The sequence below is a fragment of the Homo sapiens genome, chromosome 2, assembly GCF_000001405.40.
Source record: "Homo sapiens chromosome 2, GRCh38.p14 Primary Assembly".
NCBI classification, from domain to species: Eukaryota; Metazoa; Chordata; class Mammalia; order Primates; family Hominidae; genus Homo; species Homo sapiens.
Genome location: NC_000002.12, coordinates 133,202,778 through 133,228,945, shown reverse-complemented (window position 1 = coordinate 133,228,945; position 26,168 = coordinate 133,202,778). Strand labels below are relative to the sequence as shown.

At 36.9% G+C, this 26,168-nt stretch overlaps 1 protein-coding gene across 19 annotated transcripts in view; it reads left to right on the top strand.

Annotated features, from left to right (window-relative positions):
• Nucleotides 1-26,168, top strand: part of NCKAP5 (NCK associated protein 5) — a 1,003,049-nt gene that overhangs the window by 445,891 nt on the left and 530,990 nt on the right. For all 19 annotated transcript variants that reach the window (XM_017003975.3, XM_011511100.4, XM_047444134.1 and 16 more), the window contains one exon: nt 15,167-15,230. In XM_017003975.3, the coding sequence (XP_016859464.1) occupies nt 15,167-15,230 (64 nt within the window). The remainder of the gene's footprint in view (nt 1-15,166; nt 15,231-26,168) is intronic.

Below are 26,168 nucleotides of genomic sequence, written 5' to 3'. Positions count from 1 at the left end.
CTCATTGTTGACTTTATTGTTGATTTCAGCTACTTGTCAAATCAGGTACTAATTGAATATTGTCCACATTTGGTCACGATTTGATTTTTTACAAAGAATATAGGGAAGTCTGGCTTTCTCTTTTATTCTCTGGATTTTTACAATGGACATTCTTTTAAAAGGGTCTGTGTCTTGAAATCTTGTTATTTTGAACAGTCTTCCTGGTAATGGTGTGAAGGATAGGAATAGAACAGAAAGATACTTTCTGATTTGTTTGTGTGCCTCCTAAGACTGTACTCTCTGGCTCTAATATTATACAATTTTGTGAACATGTACACAGTGTTTCATAGTTAACTTTTCTAGGAATGTGCACAGTATAAAACGTGCTGATGGTGGTGACAGTGGGAATACACAGAAATATATAGACTTAAGCTGGTTAAGTGTTGTAGAGGGAAGAATGAAGAATGTGCTTAATATAAATTGTTAAGTCACAATAACTAGGAAGGGGTCAAGATAGTATGAAGAAAACAAGATGTAGGCTCAATGTTAGTAAGGTATTTAATGGCATACCTCAAATGGAGTTAATATAATTGAAATGGATGCAAAAACTATTGAGTTCCAAAAACAAAAAGAGATCCGGTTATTTTTTTGCTACAGGTCCAAGTAAGGATTAATTAAGAAATATATAAAAAGTGCTTTTCAAAGAAAGGATGGTATAGTAGAAGTATAAATTTTCGACCCATGTGGTAGACTCTAACAATTATTTCCTTCTCTTAGAACTGCCCCCAACCTATAAGGGACAGGACCACATCTAAGACTGTGCTATATGACCCTGCTCCCAGGTCAAAGCTGGTCACTTCAGGGTGTGTACCTCACCTATGCTATGCCAATCAGGATCTTACTCCAGAGAATTAAAACGTGGAACTGATGGAATAGAAACCAAGAGTCCCCAGAGCTCAACTAGGGCATCGTTGGAGTGTCATGCCAAGTGGTATATAAATTCTTGCTGCAGAGACCCCTGCTGCTTACCCAGCTCTTGCTTCTCCTAGAGTTTGGTGGTTCAGTTCCTCCTGAAATACCATACCGCATTCAATAAATACCTCCCCTTTCTTATTGTACCTGAAGTTTGTTTCTGTTACTTGCAACCAGGAGAAATCCAACTCATACAGTCCTGAAAAGATTAGAAAAGAAGAATCTAAACAGGATACAAAGCTCAATGATGAAAATGACTCTGAAAGGAAAGTGAGATGGGTTCTGTTAGGTTATGGACTCATAAAATGAATTGGCAGATGATCAGAGCATCAAATTACTCTTACCAAATGCTTTAGAGAAGGCTATTTAGTTGAATGGTTTATAAAAGTCAGTAAATTTATAGTGCTCCTGAGGTTTAATAATGGCTCAGTTGGGTAGAGACCTGAGTTAGTGAAGGCTTGGTTATGGGCAGACCAGTTTCAAGACCACAGGTCACCTAACTCCTTACACCCACAAGTGGCCAACATATGCTCCAATAATGGGGCAGCCAGAGAGTATATACATGTGTTTGCAAACCGTCTCCACTCTGGAATATGAACTAAGTCAATATTCCCCTAATAAAGCACTGAGGTAGCATCTTATACTGGGCATAGCAGTAGACTTAGTAAAAAGAATATGAAGATGGACATACCAAAAATGTCTATGGCTGAGATTATGTGTGCCTGTGGATGTTTAGCTATGAAGTGTGCCATTTGAATCATTCATATAGTCATCTTCAACTCTTGAGAAATGGCATGTTGAAGAAGTTCCTTAGATTGGAAAAAAACCCACTTTGCAGTAAAGATTTTATAACTCTAGAGTTATAAATTTTCATATTTGACATCTGACTTTTGTGCTCTTAACTTTTGTAAAATGTGACTGCCATTTCCTCTATGAAGGTTTCCTTGATTCTCCTGGTCGGAATCAAATACTCCTTCTGCCCAAAATACATCACACTTTGCTTGGAGCACCCATTATATCTTCCCAGGCTATGTGTATATGTATATTTGTATAGAGATGGATTATGTACAAACATACATAGTTGATAGATTTTATATTAAAATATATCTGGATGTATTAGTTTGTCAGAGCTGCTGTAACAAAGTACTGCAGATGGGGGTGGCTTACACAACAGAAGTTCGTCTTGAAGTTCTGGAGGCTGAAGTCCAAGATGCATTGACAAGGTTGGTTGCCTCTGAGTCTGCTCCATGCCTCTCTCCTGGCTTCTGGTGGTTTGCTGGCTATCTTTCTTGTTCATTGGCTTGTAGAAGTGTCACCTCAATGTATGCTTTCATCTTCACATGGTGTTCTTCCTGTGTGTGTGTGTGTGTGTGTGTGTGTGTGTGTGTGTTTATCTTCAAATTTTCCCTTTTTTTAAGAACTCCACTCCTGTCGGATTAGGACCCATTCTAGTGACCTCATTTAAAATTGATTAACTCTGTAAAGGCCCCTATCTCTAAAGCCACATCTGTAGTACTGGGGGTTAGGACTTCAATATATGCATTTTTGGGGGACACTTTCCAACTCATAATGCTGAACCATAGGTGTGTTATCTGTTTTCTGAGACTGAATGCTCTGTAACTGCAGGAACTGAGTCTCACTCATCATTGTAGTTTCCATAGAGCCTAGCAAAGCCCCTCCAACTTAGTAAGCAACATAATATTTGTGGAATAGATTGATAGCATTTCCAATTTAGCCTAAAAACCACCTTTTTGGGCCCGGTGTGGCGGCTTATGCCTATAAACCCAGCACTTGGGGAGGCTGAAGTGGGAGGATCACTTGAGCCCAGGAATTCAAGATCAGCCTGGGCAACAGAGCAAGTCCGTGTCTCTAAGAAACATTTTTTAAAAATTGAGTGTGGCAGCCAGGCACCGTGGCTCACGGCTGTAATCTCAACACTTTGGGAGGCTGGGGCACTTTTGGAGGCTTGTGGATCACAAGGTCAAGAGATTGAGACCATCCTGGCCAACATGGTGAAACCTTGTCTCTACTAAAAATACAGAAAAATAGCTGGATGTGGTGGCACGTGCCTGTAGTCCCAGCTACTCGGGAGGCTGAGGCAGGAGAATCTCTTGAACCCGGGAGTCAGAGGTTGCAGTGAGCCGAGATCGCGCCACTGAACTCCAGCCTGGTGGCAGAGGGAGACTCCGAAAAAAAAAAAAAAAAAAAAAAAAAAGAACAGGGCATGATGACCCACACCTGTGATCCCAGTTACTCAGGAGGCTGACATAAAAGGATTGCTTGAGCCCAGGAGATTGAGGCTGCAGTGAGCCATGATCACACCACTGCACTCTAGCCTGGGCAACAAAGTGAGACCCTATCTCAAAAAAATAATGATAATAAAACCACCATTTTGTTGAGCTGAACTCACCCTCGTGTGTGTAAATCATTCCACAAATGAAGGAATGTTTTAGTGTATAAACTTTCCTGTGTGACAGTCCATCAGGGATTCCATCAGTACCTCCTTCAACTCTTCCCTTTGGAACTCACAAACCTTCTTTTTCTGAGCCTAGATAAATGGCTCAAGCCTCCTCACAGATACTATGTTGGGGCCGTTGTCAAAACAGAGACAGAATGAGATTTCAGAGGCATAGATAATTGAAAGTCGTGAAAACTAAATTAGTTGTCATGTAAGGGCTATCGTCACCCCCTTTCCCCACAGGTATGTAATGCTCCTTAGGAGATGATTAGCATGCTTGATTAGCATGTTTTTTTTCCCTCAAGAATTCCCTTTCCATATTAAGCTACATATAGTTCATCTGTTTTGAATGTTACCAAAATTGATGGAACAACTTGAACATTATTAATAAAGTTCTGTTGTTTTTAAAAGTTTGTCTTAATTGTCAGACATAACACAAACCTAGATTTATTTTAGTGGAATTTTAAAATTTAAAGAAGAAATATCAGGGTGGCAAAGTGGGGTTGCAGAGGCAGGGGTATACCTGGAAACATAGGGAATTCCAAGTTTCTTAGAGAGCGTGGCAACATAAGGAATACCCATTCAGAAACCTAGATTTTCCACAATAATTAAGAAATTAAGTGTTTCTTCAATGATTTATAAGAAGTATATATCTCAAGGAAAGCTTTTTTTTGAAGTGTTTGACTTTACACTCGAGGAAGAAGTAATTGCAAGAGTTAAGATTAGAAATATCTGTATTAAAATTAGGCGAATTTTTGCTCTAATATGTATTTTAGAAACATTTTAGGTAGGAGTGCTTTGGGATTTCACTCTGTACCAGAGAGGAGGAGGAGAAAATGGGTTACTTTAATTCAGTATTGTGCTAAATTCAGGCTCTTCCAACTTTATCAAAAATTTGAGGATGAAAGCATATATTATTCTAATGAAAGCTCACAGTTCCAAGTAGAAATAAAAAGGAGAAAACCCAGAAGGACAAATGCACTTCTTCACTGGATATTTACTACCAATATTATATGGAGCATCTAAAATGTACAAAATGCTACACATATGACTGTTGTAGTAGGGAGTACAGGTAGCTTGTGTGGTTTTATTGGCTTATTTTGTCAAGATCTGGAACATGCGATTAGTTTCTGATATTGAATATGAGCGAAGGCGTTTGTAATCTTGCCTCAAGTCAGTGAGACCATCTTTGTTCTGAAGCATGATCGTTCATTTATTAAGGATATGTTTGTGCTCTGGATGCAGAAAGACCACAAAGTCACAGCCTTCTAGGGACTTACCTCCCACTAAGGAGATAAATAGGTAAGAAGGCACTTGTTACTTCATGGACTGCATGAGTGACTGTATGGATGGATAAATGAACGAATGAATGAAAATGTGGGTGTCATTCGAGGCACCGTTCTTGAGAGCAGAAGAACAATTTTGAGAATACATATATAGGATAAGGATGTAGAGGGCTACGTTTTATTTTCCAGGAGCTCCAGAAAGCTAGTTAAGGACAAGCCTGTGGATAACACACCTTCAGAAAGTCAGGCCACTAAAATTAGGATTTTTGTTAGTTTGTGTTTACTAACTATCTCTGTATTCCAACACACTGAATTCTTTAAAAAGTCTCTGTGTTAATTTTTGGGAGGATTGGGGTACATTCCTTAATTGGCATAGTGCAATTTATTAAAGTCTTGTGCTTTTCCAATGTTGGTGAGTTTTACATGCCAGTCCTGTTGAGTTTCCTGCTGACTGACCTCACTGCACAAAATCCTGTGAAGATCCACAACTTAGAACACGCTCTAAACTTACCGACTTTTATGCTTTATGGATGTTGATAGAGTCTCCTAAAGCATATAATCAGAGTGATTTTGTTGCTGTTTTAAAGTTTTGGGGGCAACAGTGATGTTACGTATTGGAAAAAAGTATATAAAGACATTTCTTTCATATGAGTTGCGGCTCTAAAAGTTTTCTAAAATCTCCTCTCACCCTGTCAGAGGGGATGAGTAATTAAATGATCTGCCATGGAAAGGCTAATTAACTTAACCATTACTCAGGGACTGCCGTCGCTGGTCTCCCCATCTGCCCACACGACAGGTGCACCTGGCACTCGACATTGTCATGGCCTCTGCGGCGGGTGACTCCCCAGGGCACTTCTGTGTGGGGAGAGAATGGGTCTTGGCCTCCTCAGAGGAGCAAACCTGTTCTCCCCACATGCATACCAGATCGCCACCGGGCTCTTATTCTTGGGATCCACCAGAAATGGGGAAGGTTGATGATTAATTGAATCTTCTGTTTAAGATTTTAGTGTATGACTCTGTACCCCAAGGCATAAATGAGAGTAATCATCTATCTAATTTCAATATAGACATTTGGTGATATCTTCACAGGGAAACAATATGGGGTGGAGGGGGTTGTTAACTGACAACAAAACCTATGCCTGAGCATAGGTTTATATTGGGAGTTTGATTAGTATTTTTCTTCTACTCTGCAAAAATGTGGATTTATAGTATTTGGAATTCAATGTGTTCCTGGAAATTTGTAATGGTGGTTTTCCCATTGATTCACATTAAAATGGTCAAAAATGTGTTGTGTCCATGGAGACCCCAAATTCTTGCATTATTTGTGATGACCTCACTGGCAGTAGAGACAGTGGTAACAGGCAATGGTAGCTACAGAGGCACAAGTTCTAACAAATAGGATTATAGCTAAATATATATTCATTGCTATTTTACATATTTGTTAAAGCATGAATGGCCATATTTAAACTTTTGAGCAGTGGGATAATAGGCATGCTTTCCAGTCTGCATGAGCAGCCTCCATTTATCCATGGAAGGCAGGCATTGCTGCATGTTAGCAATGTTGACCAGGAGCCTCCGGGGGCCCTATGACCTTTTTAGAGATCCACGGGGTCAAAACTGTTTTTATAACTATTTTGTTTAAATAAGAATACTAAGATGTTATTTTTTAAGAATATTTTAAAAGAATTTTTATAAGAATACTTAGAATTTTATAAGAATACTAAGATGATATTTGCCTTCTTTGTTCTCATTCTCTCATGAGTATACAGTGGTTTGCCAGAGTCCACTCCATATGTGACATTGCAGCATATTGAATGTATTAATAGAAGCAAATATGATAATCCAGATGTCATTTTTGTTACCTAGATATTAAAGACTTTTGCAGAAGTATAAAACAGTGCCACTTGTTTTATTATATTTTTGAAAATTATAGTCATATTTTATAATTATGTTTATGTTAACCTGTAATATAATTACTATTGCTATTTTAAATTAATATATATTTTTAAGTTAATTTTGGAGATGGTAAGTATCAATAGACATAACTGACAAAAACAAAAGCTCTTTGGGATTCTCAGTAATTTTTTTGCAGAGTGTAAAGGGGTTCTTAATCCAAAAAGTTTGATTAACTTTTATATCATAGAGATGATAATAATACCTACCTCATGGGATTCTCTGAGGTTTAAGTATATCATGTGAAGTGTTTAGAATAGTGCCTGACATAGCAACTATTCAATAAATATCAGCTATTATGGTTATCTTTTTAAATGCAAAAGTAAAATAGGTCCAGTATCTCTCAAAGAAGTGACCTGGAATAAAATCCTGGCACCAAAGTGGCAGACCATGGTGCTGAACAAAAGTCTAACAGCATTGCATTCAAAAGACTTAATGAAGTTAGAGAATAACATAGAATATGTGATAGACATTCTTCCTAATTAAAATATTTGTGAGGACAGATCTGTTCTCCTATGTAATTTGTTGCTGAAAAGTCTGAAATTGAAAAAATCTTAGAAATAGCAGAAAGTGCCTTCTTATTTAAAGGAAGTTCAGATTTGATCTTTTGATAAAATAGCCACCTACCATGTTTTAAAATCTGGCTTTGAATACAGAGTGTTGTACTTACTGCGTCTTATGACACTCGTGTGTAGGCATGTGCGTAGGCATGCTTTCTCTGTCTATCAATCCTGAAGTCTTTGAATTTGGAACTGTATTATTATTTGTGTTTATTTCTCAGACCCTAGAATGGTACCAGGCCTGTAGTAAACTCACATTAAGTGTTTGCTGAATGCATAAAAATTTCCATTATTGTTGGATTATATAGTTTCAGTTAGCAAAATATTCTGAATTAATAAAAACCAATATAGGTGTATTTAATACATAAACATAAGTAAGTTTTAAATACTTTATAGAAACTTAACCTAAAAATCAAAACTAACATGAACCTAGAGTTTTGTATGGAGAGTATTATGGGATTCTTTAATATCACAATATCTTTACCACAGTAAAGGAAACTGACTTTGGATTGCTAAGATGCCCAAGAAAATTTTTCCTTTTTAAATTCATATGTAAGCATGTTTATTTGTTATACTTTATTTTCCTGGAAAGATCAAGTGATCACACAGATCATCCTGCATGTTCATCAACTCACAGAGTATTTCACATATTAACAGTTTGCTTGACGTGAGCTGGATTCATACCTTTTAAGTGCGTTGCATATATAGGGTATTTGTGACCGTGAGACTTAACAATGAGTAGAAATAATTCTTCCCACTTACACTAAGTGCCGTTGCTGCTCTTCCATCAGGGCATCCTCACAGGGGCACCATCTGCCTGGTGGAGAGTGGGGCACACAGCATCTCCATGCTCTCCCATTCAGGTTGGGTATAAGTCCTGGGCTTCCTGAAGAGTGGCAAGGGAACATTGATTTGTCTCCCAACAGGCATGCCCTGGGACACTCTCGCAACAGATGGCTCTGTAGCACCCTGCAGCCTGAGGTCTCCACATAACACAAACTGAATATATTCCTCCTCTGCAAGCTGCTTTCTCCTTGGGGAATGCTTTTTTTTTAAACATGCAAACCTTGCAGGTCTTTTCTGAATTTTACGAATGCCAACATCCTGTTGGCTTCATTGGGAACACTATTTCCACAGGCTTAACTTGCAGAGGTGTCAGTGGTATTCTGAAGAATATATAAGAATATATAAAACCTATAAAATGTTGTTTATGATCTTTAGTTCAGATAGTCTGGGGCTATATTGAAGGGCTTTAGAAACCTGGAACTAATTGTCCATTTGGATATAAAATTGAGTAAGAAGAGTAGCTCTGTTTCATTCTTCCTGGAGAGAAAAGTTGTCTTTACATTTAACTGTAAGAGAAGTAAGTACTGTGGTCTCTTGTTTCATCGTTTGTATTTTCTTTATATTCTTTTTTTATACCTGTTCAGTAAATAAGAATCCACAGCTCTTGATAAAATATCCCTGTGCATTTGTTTGGCAATCATAAAGTCAATACCCACTTCATAATGAGCTACTGGCTTTGCCACAAACAAAACAAAACAGTGATGCATTGCAGAAGCACAGTTGTCTGTTTCCAGCAGATGAACTGAGGCCTTTAAATGGGAGCAAGGGTGTATGTGTATGTGAGTGTATTTAATTTGTCTTGGGTAGCTTGCAAATCCAGCATTCTTTATTTTCTACACAAAGCTGTTTATATGAACTGTGAATTTGCATGAAAAAGATACTAGTCCCAATTGGTTTCACACATATATTGGGACCATGGAGGTTTGAAAATATGGCGTGCCAGGAACTACTAAACGCAAGGACAAATGAGATTCTGTGAAAAAGACAGGGCCATTTATTTTTAATATTTTGATTGAGTTGATAATTTGATTCCAGAAATAACATCTAGAAATACTGAGTATTTTATCATAGAAGTTTTTACCATGTCAAGAACTTCACCACTTCCTTAGTTTTAGAAAAGAAAGACCCTTTCATACAAAAATAACGTTTTCATGCAAAAATAAAATACAAATTCTACTTAAAAAAAAAAAACTCCAGCTGATGTAAAATGTACACACAAGGACTTGAAATATTTGGAATATACAAGTTACTGAGGAATCCCTTATTTGTTGTGTTTTAGCATTGGAAACCCACTTTTAAAAGGGAATATAATTCAGAAGCCTAATATATAAAATAACTTAGAGTTGGAGTGCTCTTGCTGTCGTGGGACTTAGCTGCCACTGGCTTTGCCCACTGACTCCATGGGAGGCCCCTGAACTGTCCCTTGGACCCCTGAGAGATCTTTGTTGGATAATCTAATAGGTTGCATTTCCTGCATAAATGTCTTAAAACAATTACGGAGCATGGTCCCCAAAAGACATTTGTGTTTGCTGTTCTTGCAAATTCTGCTCCTTCATCACCTAGCTGCCCTGAGTCAGGGTAACTTCCAGTTGTCTACACCTAGGCAATTTCCCCAGTTGTCGATACGGAAGGCTAGCAGCCGGGCTGGGGTTGGGGATTGCCTCCCCTGTGGCCTACACTACTCTGAAATTTTCCATGTTTGCATCACCTGTTTCCACGTGGCTGTTTGAATTTGGGCATTCCTCCACTCATGTGGTAGGTCAGATATAAAACGGTGTTTCTAGTTTTTATGTATTTTACTCTCTGTTTCACCAAATCAAGTGGCTAGAATGCTGCCCCTTTAGAGATAGCCCATTCGTGTTGATTCATTCATTTTGTTCCTTCTTTATTGAATGCCAAAGAATATAATGTGTGGACAGTCTACAAAATTTCATGATTTATTAATATAGTATTTTCCTTTTTAAAAACTATGTAATGACTAAAACCATTATGGTTTTCTTTCAAATTGAATTAATAAGATTTGAGAAGCACATTACAGTGTGACAGTCCTAATAGTTTATAAAGGCCATCTCTTTTAAGCATAAAGTAGTGATGTTCCTAACATTTACACTGTATTAGGACTCTTTTATCATTTAGTAGGATGGTGGGGATAAGATTGGCTTTTGATCTGTTCCTGGAAATGTCTCTTTTATGTTACACTGCTCTTGTGAGAAATTAACATACCATTAACATATATATTAAACCTTTCTCTGAAGCTTCAACAATTAAGAATGAGGATTCAAGGCAATTTTCTAGAACATTCTTACATTCCTAGTTCCGTATCTGTCTTTCAGTTGAAGTTCTCAAAGTTTGGTCCTGGGACCCTGGGTATCTCCAAGACCCTTTCAAAGGAACTGCAAGATCAAAACTATTTTTGTCATAACACTAAGATGATATTTGCCTTTTCCACTCAGCTTCCATGAGTGGAGTTTTCTAGAAGTCTTATGACATGTTCTGTCATAACAGATTAAATGCTGAAGCGGATGTGAAAATACACGTGTCTTCTATTAAGCCAGACGTTAAAGAGAGTTGCAAAATTCTAAAGCAGTATCATTCTTCTCACAAAATTTATTTTTTCCCTTTATTTGCAAAGTGTATTTTTGTTTTGGAATTACTGTTTAGGATGACTTTTAATAAAAATGTTTTACTTATGTTGGCATGGGTTTATTGGCTTTTTGGTGATTTAATAAATATTTTAATAAATTACATTTTTATTTATATGTCATAAATATCAATAGATAATAACCCATAACAACAAAATCTCTTTGGGATCCTCAGTTTTTCTGCATACAAAAGGATCAAATATTTGAGAACTCAGTATTCAAATATTTGGGACCTACTGTTCTACAGTCCCCTCATTCAGTGCTCTTACTTAGGAATTTACTCTGTTGAAGCTTACTCACATATTTATCTGGTGGCCTATGGAAGTTGTACTTTTCGTAATTTTAGAATGTATGTAAAAAAGCTTTTGTGGTTAACCAGAACCAGAGGATACCCTGTGGGAATCAGGGTATATGTGTGCAGTGTACCTGCGTTATGTACTATGTAAATGCAAGATGGTAATATTATTTAAAATTCTGTTATGCCAGGCAAGTTGGTATTAGATTCTGTAACTGATTCCTCATTCAGCAAATCACAAATATTTATTTTGTTCCTACTAAGGGGCCTTAGTAGTGTTAAAGAGATGAACTAAATATAATCTCCACTCAGGCAACCGGCTGTTACAGTAAGATACTAACTACGCCACAACTGACCACCTGCAAAAATGAATGGATCATCATTTTTGGTTGCTACTGTTGTGGTCAAGGAGGAATTTATGGTCTTATTTAGAGGAAAAATATATTGAATAAACAGTCGAGTAAAATATGAGACAATGTGTTTAATATACTTTAGATGAGAAGTTAAATATCTCCATGTTTCAGTATACAGAGAAAAGAGTGTGGCAAGTGAATTCAGGTATTGGTGTAGGAAGTTAATTATCATTAGCATCAAAGTAGCTTCTGGTGTTCTGGCAGTGTTTCTGTTTTTTTGTTTAGGTGGGACTAATACGGACATGTTCACTTTGTGATTATTCAGCAACCTGTGCTTTTATGATATTTTTCTGCGTACTTTATACTTCATTACAAAAGTAAAGAGAAACTTTTAAATTTAAAATATCTCTGTAACATGTTAAACTGTTTGCAGTATGTACTTAAAAACGTTTGTCCAAAGACTCGTTGCTTATAGTGACTTCTTATTTTGCCTTAATTTACCAAAGCTTCTCAATAGGTGCCTCTCAGGTCCGAGGCAATGAGTCATTTGATGCTGAATCTTCGGTTGGTGAATAATCTATCCTTTATCTTTCTAGTAATGCATTATTATAATGTTTTTAATAAAAATAACATGAGCCAGTTGGTTTTTAAAAATACATGTTTTGCGAAGTTTTTTAATCAAAGTAGTACATGCACATACTTTGGAAATCAAATGCAATGGTAACATCTGTAAGATGTACACACTGCCTTCCCTACCTCTGCATCTTACTCCTCCGACACAGCCACTCTCCTTCTTCTAGATCTACCTTCTAAGTTTTGCCTCCTTGTATCTGAATTATATGCCTGAACTTCTGTTTCTATATCACTTTTAAACATTATGTATTATCTTTCTATTATGGAAGATAAGAATTTAGTGTTTCTGTACCAACTGTTTCTCTGTGCTTCCCTTTCTCTACTTTTTTCACTAAATAGTAAATTAATTTAGTTAATAATTAAAATGATAAATGTCATTCACAGCTGAGTCTAGTAGAAGTTTAGAATTGCATTTCTAGAATAACTTTGTTTTTACTAGCATGAATAATTGTCACTTCCTGCCATTGGCTTACGTTTTCATGTTCCAATTTCTTGTTCTTAAGCTTTAAAATAAAACTCTACATCTCTTCTCAATACTTACGAACACATAGGTAATTTATTTTGGTTCAACTTTGTTTTATTCTTGGAGTCATCCTCCTGAGGCTCTCCATCCTCTTGCTGCAGTCCAGATTGGTTATTCTCTGGATTCTTACACAGCTGTTGTCCAGGAGCTTCTTTTTACCAAGAAAAGAAAAAAAAATCCAATTATTTATTGGATTTCTTGTTTCTCGTTACCTAGTCTTGCTCTTTATTTGGTAGAGTTATATGTATCAGTGAATAGGAATTTATAGATTTATTTGATACAGATTTTGACAGTGTAATAATATTAAGTCTTTCAATCCATGAATGTGATATATGTTTCTATTAGTCTCCTTTAATCCTTCTTAGCAGTGTTTTGTAGTTTTTAGTGTGGCCGTCTTGCAAATCTTTTGCTAAATGTTTTAATTTTTGACATTATTAGAAGGAGATGCTTTAAAATTTTATTTTCCAATTGTTTGTTGCTAGTAAAATATAATTAATTTTTGTTCATCGGCTTCTATCCTCTGACTTTGCTAAATTCACTTATAAGTTGTGTAGTAAATTTCATCAGATTTTCTACTTAGAAAATAATGTCATCTGTAAATAGAGACAGTTTTACCCCTTCCTTTTTGATATCCATGTATTTTATTTCTTTTTCTTGTCTTATCAAATGGTATAGGAGTTTTGCTTCTATTTGCACTTTATATAAATAGGAAATAAAGTATATACATTTTGTACTTGCTTCTGTTACTCAACAGCATATTTGCAGTATTCCATACATTGTTGTGATTAAGTGTAGATTATTCCTTTTCAGTGTTGTATAGTATTCCATCATGTAACTGTGCTAAAGTTGACATATCTATTCTATTGTTAATGGGTGTGTGCATTTTCAGCTTATAAGATTACTAAAGTGCTGTTATGAACATTCTGGTACATGTCTTTTGGTGAACATATAGTTCTGTTCAGTTTAGAGCTCAGAGTGGAATTGCTGGTTCATAGAGTATGGAGTATGTGATTCTCCTGTTTTCTTTGACTTTATAAGTATTTGCCAGTGTTACCTCTATACTACATTTTTAACAGTTTCTGGGGAGAGAAGAGATAAATTCATGTGTTTAATTTTCATATTAAAACAGAATTCATTCATATCCTTCTTTTTCAATTATTTGTTCCCTTAATTTGTTCTTTTCATTGAACTTATTTGATCTGTTCATCAGAACTTGAGTCAGAGAACACACAGGAGCTTTCTGCCTTGATTACTTGGCCTCTCTACATGGCTTCCATCCCTTTGTGGCTCCTTCCTATCTACTCTGTTGCCCCTTCTTAGAAGTGTACTCACAGGTGCTGCCACAGGCTCCCAAAACTTGTATACCTGGAATGTCTCCTAGTCTAGTCTCCCTTCTTCTAGTCTGTGCCTTTAGGTATTTATTCAGAGAGAACTATTTCTACTAAAAGACTGCCCAGCTGCAACCAAACAAAAGCACGTGTCTTCTTGGTAGTCCTAGGCATTTCAAAGATCCAAGCACTTAGGAGAGAAGAAGTTTTCACTTCTCTTTTCCCCAGTGGGAAAATTTTCTGGGGATTGAACTGCATCCTTTATGTTTACATATAGCTGATTGCATATAGCTGATCCTGGGCAAAGAGAAGACTAAGGGATGAAATGTCACTCAAATAATTTCTCATCTTGATAGTAGTATAGTAGTAGAAGAATATCAGGGGAAATACTTACTAAAGCTAACATTTTAGGGATTACCAGAAGAATTCACTTACCCCTATGACATCTAATCAATTATTTTAAAGAACAATTGAAAAGCTGTCCAAAATGCAGTCATCTATCACTTTACAAAAGTATTCTAAAAATTTTGGTGAATATTGGATATATTTTAAGTGAAAGCAGAATTATAAGGGATCTAAAAATGAACCCCATTGTTAAATAAGGAGTACTAAAATAAATAAATAATCTGATTTTTAAGTCTACATTTTATATTACCTACACACTGAAGAAATGATAAGCAGACTTTTTATTTAGGCTTTGAAGTAAGGAAATCTAAAATTTGATTCCAAAAAACTACTATATACCAGCTGAGGACTCAGTGTATTAGCCTTTTTGGGCCTCAGTTTCTTCATCTATAAAATGGGCATAATGAAATCACCCATGGGATTGTTGTCAGGCTCAAATGAGAACAGGTGCATTGCCCAGCATGATGCCTGTTATGTAGCAAGCATGCAAATGATTTTCTATTGTTATTTTAAAAGTAGTAAGGAGTTATATTTTGTTTGCTTCTTAATATTATTGGTGTGGAGAGCAACAAAAGAAATAAAAATAATTAAAAATGCTTAAGCAAAGTTGATAGAGAAAAGTCAACTAAAATACTATAGCCATGAAAAATTTATTTGTGAGTGATATATGTTAATGAACTAAAAGCAAAGCATCTACTCACCATTTAACGTTTATTTGGCTATTGTAAAATCTATGGCAAATTTCATGACACTCAATGAAAACAATGCATTCATGACCAATCAGTTTAAATATTTATAGAAAGTATAGAGGAGGAAGTGAGCTAAACCAAGGAAGGAATTCCTCTAGAGACCTCAAAAGAATGTTTCACGGCCATGCCAGTGTCACCTCTACCCTGAGAATGGTCAACTAATCATGTGTTTTTGTTTCTTCAGGGAGAAGTTGGCAGTGGCCCGACTACAGCGAGAAGTTGCCCAAAGAACAAGTGAGGGGGCCATGGTAAGTCCTGACTGCCGTCCCCTCATTCCACAACATCCAGAGGTCTCTGGCTTGAAAGCTACTTTGCCTCATTAAGGATATCTAAGGAAAATATTTGCTTGCAGCAAACTTAATGATATTTTGGCAAATGATGTATTTATAATAGAATTTATACAGCTCTGCCATTTGCCATCAGAGTGAGAGATATTAATTGAAAAAAAAATGAGGCTTTAAATAAGATGTTCACATGTCCAAGGATTATAAGGCTTTGTTTTCTGAAGGTCAGACTTCCAGCAGTGGGCACAATGTCCACAAATGAGCAACAGTTCAACATAATTCAAACCTCTCAGCTCTTTGAACTTAAAAAACAAACAACAGCCATCTTAGTGTTCTGAAAAAAGAACACCAAGATGTTTGCTAATGTAATTGTCTTTATTATTTTCCTTCTCTTCACTATTTGCAATATATTTTTCCTTGTCCTTTTCAGCTTGTGCCATTTGGAAAACTGATGTTTCCTTGTATTTTGAATTGTACTAAAAATCAATACAGTTATTTTGGTCCATAGCAACTTCATTTTATAGACTGTCTTTGCCGAAGTATCTGCCTCTGTGCCTCTTATAACATCAGAGATGACTGTCTGGGGACCTGGGGAATGCATGCGTGGAGTAACTGCTGTTGCTACTTCTGAAACGAAAATACAGCACCAGATTTATTTTTTCCTCCACTTATGGAAAAACAATGGAATGTGTGCAAGCTTTCAGTAAAAGAATTAGATAAGTAGTACATTTTTATACCCTGAAGTCTGCTTCCATTTGATTTCATGAGAGTTAATTGACAGGCCATCCACTGAAAAGGGTAAGACATTTGTAAAATATGCTGGCCTCATACTTCTGTCAACAGGGAAATCAAAGGGCTAGAGTAAGATGCCAAATGTTGAGTGGGGTCTGGAAGGCACAGTGGCCCTTGAACATGCTAAAATACTTAGGAAGGTGATCACAGTGTTTATTTTGCTAGGGATCTTAATGCAGAAAGAATCTTGAATGTTCAAATGGTATGAAGAAACATTCACGGCTGGGTGTGGTGGCTCACGCCTGTTATCTCAACACTTTGGGAGGCCGAGGTGGGCAGATCACCTGAGGTCAGGAGCTGGAGACCAGCGTGGCCAACATGGTGATACCCTGTCTCTACTAAAAATACAAAAATTAGCTGGGCGTGGTGGTGGGCACCTATAATTGCAGCTACTCAGGAAGCTGAGGCATGAGAATCATTTGAACCTGGGAGGCGGAGGTTGCAGCGAGCCGAGATTGTGCCATTGCACTCCAAAGACCCTGTCTCCCAAAAACAAACAAATAAATAAGGAAACTTTCACAAGCATCTTTGAGCAATGAAATGGAAACAAGAGGGAGAAAATAAAGGCCTAGTTGGATGGTGGACTGAGCATTTCCAATCTGGACTTTTCACTGCATTTCAAAATGTTGATGGGCTAGGTCATTCTGTAATGTTTCAGTCTTTTGTTTAAGACTAGCTCCTGCTCACCACTTCGTCAGCGACGTTCTAGTTGAATATGAGGAAGTAACTTAACTTTCGTAGGTCAGTTTCCTCATCTTTAAAATGGGAAGGTGGGAATTTTGTGATTCCTTTAACTTAGTGGATCATGATTTTGAGCATTTGCCCGTGTGAAGTTTTCGTGATATGAATCTCTTTCAGGTAATAACTAAATTTCATTTAAGCTCACAGGAAGAACAGGCCTTGAAAGAATGAACTTTAATTCTTTCTCACTCTGACATTGAATGTACTTGAGTTGAAATGATCTCAGACAGCTGTCTAGTCTTTTACAAAGACAAAACCCCTTTTTAAAACATTATAGAAGTTCAGTGTAGAAAATACCCAGAAAACACAGGCACAAGGACAAGCCCAGTTGCTCAAAAAATGACTTTGGAAAAGTTACGAATGTTTCATTATTCTAATTTTAATTATGGTAATGAAAAATCACACGTTTGTATTGATTGGTTAGGCAAATGTTTATAAAAAAACCATTTATTATGTGCCCAGCACTATTCTAGGCACTGGAGAAAGAGTGAACACAGGCAAAATCTGACAGCTTACAGTCTAGTGATTGGTGAGACAGATATTCAATGTAATTAAAATGTTAGGACATAGAAGCAGCTATGAGAAAATAAAAGAGCAGGGTAGGGGAGTTTGGTAGTTATAGGAGCTCACCATTTAAAATAGAACATGCATAGTATTGGGAGGCCATTGGAGGAGGATCATTTGAGCTCAAGAGTTTGAGCCCAGCCTGGGCAACATAGTAAAACCCTGCTCTACAGAAATATAAAAAATTAGCCAGGCGTGGTGGTGCATGCCTGTGATCCCATCTACTTGGGAGGCTGAGGCAAGAGGATCATTTAAGCCCAGGAGACAGAAGTTGCAGTGAGCCATGATCATACTACTGCATCCCAGCCTGGGTGACAGAGCAAAACCCTGTCTCTAAATAAATAAATAAAATAGAACAGGCATAGTAGTAAATCACTGAAAAGTTAGTATCTGAGCAAAACCTGAAGTAGGTGAAGGAGTTTTTACCATGGGGATGTCTGGGGGAGGGGGATTCTGGCAGGGGTATCAGCAAATGTAAAGGCCTGGAGTGCCAGGGGACTGCATGCGGGCAGGGCTGGCTTGAGAGGAGTGAGGGGAGAAGGTGAAGAGTAAAAGAGAAAGAAAAAAGTGATGGGGTTGGGGGGGTAGGGAGGGTTGGGGGAATGGGTGCACCCTCAAGGTCTCAACGGATCCCTGACTCATGCTTTGAGAGATGGGAACCATTGGAGGGCTTCTAACAAGGCCTAAGTATTAAGTGATTGAACTTAATACTATTCATATTTATTCTTATCATCTCCCTTCCCATTCCATGATTTGTCACATTTCAATTCCTTGGAGACACCATGAGCCCTGACTTTCATTAATTTATTTTAGTTTTTCTCCCTGTTCCTCAGTAACTATTTCTCCCTGTTCCTTTGCATAGTCAAACTCTTCTGACTTTTCTATTTAATTATATGCTTCAGCTTTTCTGCTCCTAGAATTCATTTATTTCTGAAGTCCTGATTCTTTCAGTATCTGACAGCTCCTAAAAAATCAGGCTGTTCTATTAATCCTTTAAATTTAATTATTGCTGTTACAAGGTTTGTTTCACAGAACTTTTGTTACGTCTGTAGCAGAAATGGAAAACAGTTCATCACAACTAGATCACCATGTGTATTTAGAGACTACTGTTTACAGTTTTTTTTATATTTTTATTCACATGAAAGGAAAAATGGTATAGAAGAAATTATGTAAGCAGTCTTTACAGAAAAGCTATATAATTAAATTGAGGCTGATATTTATTTTTAAAGTCATCAACAAACCTGTTATAATCAAAATCTTCAATACAAAGCATGCCTCTTTAAAATTTGGTTTTATGCAATAAATCTCTACACTTACAAGTTTTAAGATAGTCCCAAAGCAGCATTTTGAGAGATTTATTTTACATTACATTACATTATATTATGTTATATTATATTATATTATATTATTTATTTTTGAGATGGAGTTTCACTCTTGTTGCCCAGACTAGAGTGCAGTGGCCCGGTCTCGGCTCACTGCGACCTCTGCCTCCTTGGTTGAAGCGATGCTCTTGCCTCAGCTTCCAAAGGAGCTGGGATTATAAGTGCTCACCACCACACCCAGCTCATTTTTGTATTTTTAGTAGTGATGGGGTTTCACTAAGTTGGCCAGGCTGGTTTCGAACTCCTGACCTCAGGTAATCCCGCCTTGACCTCCCAAAGTGCTGGGATTACAGGCATAAGCCACCACACCTGGCTGAGATTTCTTTTATTTTTTAATAAGCTTTTAATTTTGAAATAATTTTAGATTTACAGAAAAGTTACACACCTGCCTACCCTTTACTCTGTTTCCCCTAGCATTAAACATCTTACATAACTATGATGTAATTGTCAAAACTAAGAGATTAACATTGGTATACTACTACAATTAAACTTAAGACTTTATTAGAGCAGTTTTTCTAGCAATGTTCCTTTTCTGATCTGGGATCCAGTACAGGGTACCACACTGCATTTTCTTCTAAAAAGAAGATGACTTCTTTTTAATGGCTAAGTGAGCGCATATGTAGAAGTAGAAGTAATGCGAGCTTGAAAGTGAGACCAGCCTGGATCCAAAGTCCATCCCCACCAGTAGTTACCTAAGTAATGTTAGCTTGGACATGTTACTTCACTGTTTTTTTGTTTGTTTGTTTGTTTAGTCAATTTTGTCTGCTTTTTTGTTCTGTTAACTCAGATCTTTATTTTTGGCAACTTTCCTCAGCATACTAGATGTTTTATATTTGTTTTCTTTGTTCTTAATTTCCTCTTCCAGGAAATAAATGCCACCACCGTTTTTCATACTTACTGTTCAGTATTTTTTACAAACTCTCTGAGATTATATTTCTGTTCATTCTGGGAGGTTGTTTCAGCTTGTGCTGAAATATCACTGGCTCAGTTTACTGAGAGGCCTCTTCTGTCCTTAACACTTCAGTGTTGTCTTCAATATTGGTATGCATAAAAATGGTCCATCCTACCCCAAGAGTATGAAGGTATTCATTCTCATTATCTTCTAGAACTTTTATAGTTTTTTAATGTAATTTTTTGCAAATTTCAGATGGAATTATTTTGACATGAGGTAGAGATCAGAGAGAAATTTTTCCCCAAATTAATAGCTAATTTTTCGACATCATTTAATGAACAGTGCAGCCTTTATTACTACCCTTACCATATTACAAATGCTCATATCAACCTGCATCAATTACTTGACTGCTTATACGTTTCTGTTGAAAGTTCTGTTACGCAAACTAGTCCTGAAAATAGAAAATGAGATCCTCAACTCACTTTTAAAAAATAAACACTTTTTATTACAGAAAAATTGCAAATATAGTCTAGAGTGTTTTTGTGTATCTTCTACCCAGTTTTCTCTATTATGAATACTTTGCATTAGCATGGTACACTTGTCATAGTTGATGAGCTAATATTGATACACTATTAATGAAGTCCATGCTTTATCCAGATTTCTGTAGTGTCCTTTTTCTGCTCCAGGATCCAATCCAAGAAACGCATTAAATTTACTTATCATACTCCTAAAGCTTCTCTTGGTTTTGACAGTTTCTCAGGCTTTCCTTGTTTTTGACAACTTGGTAGTTTTAAGAAGTACTGGTTAGGTTTTTTGTGGCATTTGTCTCATTGGGATTTGTCTGATGTTTTTCTGACGATTAGATTTGGGTATATTTTTGGGAAGTAAACCATGAGTTAAATTGCCATTTTTTATCACACCATATCAAAAGTATATATTATCAACATGACTTGTCACTGTTTTTTTGTTTTGAGATAGGGTCTCGCTCTGTTGCCCAGGCCAGAATGCAGCGGTACAGTGTCAGCTCTCTGCAGCCTCTCCTGCCGGGCTCAAGAGTTTCTACCACCTCAGCTTCCTGAGTAATTGGAACTACAGGTGCAAACCACCATGCCCAGATAATTTTTGTTATTTTTGTAGAGACAGGGTCTCGCCATGTTGTCCAGGCTGGTCTCGAACCTCTGGGCTCAAGTGATCTGCCTGCCTTGGCCTCCTGAAGTGTTGGGATTACAGGCATGAGCCACCACACCTGGCCCAGCTTGTCACTGTTGAGATGAATCTTGGTCATTTGGCGGAAGTAGTGTCTGTCAGATTTCTCTGCTGTAAAGTTACTCTTTGCCACCCCACCACCCTTTCTCTCCTGTACTCTTTGGGAGGAAGTCACTATGTGTAGCGCATACTTATGGACATGGGAAATATGCTCCACTTCATTGAGGGTGGAATATCTACAGAAATTATTTTGAATTCTCCTGCATGGGATGTTTGTCTCTTCTTCCTTATTATTTATTCAATCATTTATTTATATGACTGCATTGGTATTTATTTTATACTTTGCATTGTAAAGCAGTACTGCTTTATTTTTTGGCTCAATTTATCCTAGCTTTTGGTCTTTTTGACATGCTCCCATCTTGTTTTTTGTTGTTGTTGTTGTTGTCGTTGTTGTTTTTCCTTTTTCTCTTAGCACTTCTTCTTTCTTTCTGGCATTGTAAGATGCTCCAGGCTTATCTTGGGTATTTCTTACCCCCGTCTTAGAATCAGCAATTTTTCCAAGGTCACCTGGTTCCTGTTAATGGACAGAGTTATTTGAAACCAAGATCTTGGTGCTGTGTACCAGCCCACATTTATAAGGCTTATTTAAAGTGGTATTTATTCCAGGAATGCAGTGACTGCCTAACATTGGAAAAATCATTAATATAATTGACAGTAATAATAGATTAAAGGGGAAAACAAATCTCAATACACATATATCGGGGAAACCAGCCCCCAAAAGAGCCCTGTAGGTCCTTTCTATTTTCCCTAAGTGTCAGTTGGTCTGAGAAATAAAGAGAAAGAGTACAAAGAGAGAAATTTTGCAGCTGTGTCTCCAGGGGTGACACCACATATTGGTAGGACCATGATGACAACCCTGAGCCACAAAACCAGCAAGTTTTTATTAGGGATTTTAAAAGGGGAGGGGGTGCATGAACAGGGAGAAGGTCACAAGGATCACATGCTTCAAAGGGCAATAAAGATCACAAGGAGAAGGCAAAATTAGAATTACTGATGAGCGTCTATGTCCTGCTGTGCATGCATTGTCTTGATAAACATCTTAACAGGAAACAGGGTTCGAGAGCAGAGAACTGGTCTGACTAGAATTTACCAGGCTGGAATTTCCCAATCCTAGTAAGTGTGAGCGTACTGCAGGAGACCAGGGCGTATTTCAGTCCTTATCTCAACCGCATAAGACAGACACTCCCAGAGCAGCAGTCTATAGACCTACCCCCAGGAATGCATTCCTTACCCAGGGTTATTCCTTGCTGGGAAGAGAATTCAGCGATATTTCTCCTACTTGCACATCCGTTTATAGGCTTTCTGCAAGAAGAAAAATATGGCTGTATTCTGCCTGACCCTGCAAGCAGTCACCCTTGTTCCCTGAATATTGCTGTTATTCTGTTCTTTTCAGGGGGCACTGATTTCATATTGTTCAAACACATATTTTACAATCAGATTTCATATTGTTCAAACACACATGTTCTGCAATCAGTTTGTACAATAGTGGTCCTGAGGTGATGTACATTCTCAGCTTACAAAGATAATAGGATTAAGAGATTAAAGTAAAGACAGGCATAAGAAATTATAAGAGTATTATTAGGGAAGTGATAAATGTCCATGAAATCTTCACAATTTATGTTCAGAGATTGCAGTAAAGACAGGCATAAGACATTATAAAAGTATTAATTTTGGGAACTGATAAATGTCCATGAAATCTTCACAATTTATGTTCTTCTGCCTCGGCTCCAGCTGGTACCTCTGTTCAGGGTCCCTGACTTCCCGCAACACACATAGTATAAAATATTTGATAAAATGTAATATTAGTTTATAATTTTTTTAAAAAATGGAAATTTCCTTAAATTGATAAAGGATATCCCCACTAAGAATCTTTAGTAAACATTGTACTTAATGATGAAATGTGAGAAATATTCCTTTTAAAAACCATAACCAGACTAGAACGCCTTCTGTCATTGCCTCATTTTATTGTTGTACTTCTGATCCTAGCTACTGGAGTAAGAAAAGTAGTATAAGAGCTGGGCAAAAAGCATAGTTTAGATTATTTGCAAGTAATGATTGTCTAAGTAGAAAATCTAAAGGAATCTTTAGTCAAAATTTAGAAGATTGCTGTATATAAAATGAATTAATAGAATTCCTACATATCAATCATCAGCCCTTAGAAAATATAGTTTTAAACTATAATATTTAAAATAGTAAAAAAGGCATATAGGAATAAATCTAAGAAGAAATGTATGAGATATTGATGGAGAAAATTATTAATGGATATAAAAAGAGATATATATATATGGCATATTCATGGAAGGGAAGATGGAATACCATAAAGATATCAGCTTACCCCCAAATGATTTATGCTTTCAGTATAATCTTAATGAGAATCCCAAGAAGGTTTTCACAGCATTTGGCAAGCTAATACAAATATTACTATGAAAATATATAAGTTTAAATACATATGACATGATTATAAATGAAGATAATGGAAGGATATGGTGTCCCACTACACTTGAAGATTTATTTTGAAGGTAAAGCAAATTAGTGTGATGTTGGGACAAAGATATTCAAGTAAACTAGAGAACAGAATGAAAAACCTTGAAGTAGACCCACACATATATAGGAATATATAATGGAAGTAGAATTACAATTTAGTGAGAATAAAATGGACAATTTTAAAAGGCTGCTCTGACAATTTTTGTCTGCCTGTCTATCTATCTTTATCTATCTGTCTGTCTATCTATCTATCTATCTATCTATCTAATTTCAGAGTCTGGCTGTGTTACCCAGACTGGAGTGCAGTGGCACAACCTGGCCCATTGCAACTTCTGCCTCCTGGGCTCAAGCGACCCACCTGCCTCAGCCTCCCAAGTAGCTGGAACTAAAGGCACACACCACGATGCCTGGCTATTTTTTTTTAAATTTTTTTGTAGAGATAAGGTTTCACCATGTTGCCCAGGCTGGTCTAGAACTGCTTGGCTCAAGGGATCCACCAGCCTCAGCCTCTCAAAGTGGTGGAATTACAGGTGTGAGCCACCATGCCTGGCTTGCTGTGACAATTTATATAGTAAATGATACCATTTCATTGCTATCAAACACCATGGCCAAAAGTAAATTTTGGATAAATAAAAGACTTGTAAAATATGCAAAGCTAGCTGGTAGGAAAGTGTCATGACCAATAAACATTGAAATTTCTCTTTCAGAGAAATGCACATTGTAAGTCAAAACATCACTGGGTTAGCACCCCATGCCCATTTATTTGGGAAAACTTTAGAAGTCTGAAAACATCAGTAGGCAAGGATATGTAGAAATGGAAATTCTACATTGTCAGTGGGAGTTTTAATTTCTGTTTCCCAGTAAACTTGAAGCCAAAACACAGCCTGTGACCCAGCAATCCCACTTACATGTTTCAGTCCTAGAAAATCACTAACATATGCGAAACGTGGCTCATATAAAGATTTACTCTTTAGCACTGTTTCTAAAAATGAGAAAGTCAAACAATTTCAAGGCCCCTCAGGAGGACAAATGAATAAACTGATTTCTTCAAACAGTGAAATAATATCCAGCAGTTAAAATGAAGTCGATCTGTGTGTGTGAACTTGGCGGATGTGAAAAACAACATAAAAAAATCTAACATGTATGGAAATAACACACGCCAAATTTGGATACCTCTGATGGGGGGGAGTCTTCAGTTATGTCCATTTATTTAATGTTTTGATGAAGCAGATATCCTAAAACTGTTTAAAAATTGTGAAATCTGAATGGTATTAACTGATGTCTCATTTTGTGAGTATTTAAAATATTTTATCAGTATCAATCTGATAGAAAATTTAAATAAAAATGCTGAAATTAAAAATAAAACCATAATACCATCAGAAAAGAAGACACAAGAAAGTAGAAGAAAATATTAGCTTTCCTAGGGGAAATTTTAGAGAATATGTTTTTTCATTTTTATGATCTGGGGTTAGTGAAGGCACGTCTAAGCCTGACACTAGGGTCATAAACTGTGAAGGTAAAAGATAGAGAGTAGATATTGTAAAAAGCAATAACTTCTGTTGAGCAAAAGGTTACATAAAACCAAGTTAATAAATTAAACACCCTCTTTTTTATTCCAACAGATAAAACACTTGTAAAGAGATAAAATTCTAGGAATTTGCAAAGAAATCTTCAGAATAATGCTGTGGATTTATATAGCTGATTTAGTCCAACTTTAAACTATCTTTCAAAAGTTGGAATGGTTTGAAACCTTTAGATTTTCCTAGTATTCTTTCAAGGAAAAATACCATTCCCAAAGATCGTATTCTTTTTGTATAGCACTCTGCCCTCCAGGTAACCCCTGCTGACTCCAGGACTGCCGACACTTAGATTTAGGTAAATTCCTCCCTTCTTTTATTCCAAGTCAGATACCGGAGGCAGAGATAGCATTCTTCCAGGAAACATGGAGATTTTATACTGGTTTGTTCCATTTTCAAATAAGGCAAGAATTTTAGAAGACAACTTTCTTTTTTTTTAATTATTATACTTTAAGTTCTAGGGTACATGTGCACAATGTGCAGGTTTGTTACATATGTATACATGTACCATGTTGGTGTGCTGCACCTATTAACTTGTCATTTACATTAGGTGTATCTCCTAATGCTATTCCTCCCCGCTTCCCCCACCCCATGACAGGCCCCAGTGTGTGATGTTCCCCTTCCTGTGTCCAAGTGTTCTCATTGTTCAGTTCCCACCTATGAGTGAGAACATGCAGTGTTTGGTTTTCTGTCGTTGCGATGGTTTGCTCAGAATGATGGTTTCCAGCTTCATCCATGTCCCTACAAAGGACATGAACTCATCCTTTTTTATGGCTGCATAGTATTCCATGGTGTATATGTGCCACATTTTCTTAATCCAGTCTATCATTCATGGACATTTGGGTTGGTTCCAAGTCTTTGCTATTGTGAATAGTGCTGCAATAAACATATGTGTGCATGTGACTTTACAGCAGCATGATTTATAATCCTCTGGGTATATACCCAGAAATGGGATGGCTGGGTCAAATGGTGTTTCTAGTTCTAGATCCTTGAGGGATTGCCACACTGTCTTCCACAATGGTTGAACTAGTTTACAGTCCCACCAACAGTGTAAAAGTGTTCCTATTTCTCCACATCCTCTCCAGCACCTGTTGTTTCCTGACTTTTTAATGATCACCATTCTAACTGGTGTGAGATAGTTTCTCTTTGTGGTTTTGATTTGCATTTCTCTGATGGCCAGTGATGATGAGCATTTTTTCATGTG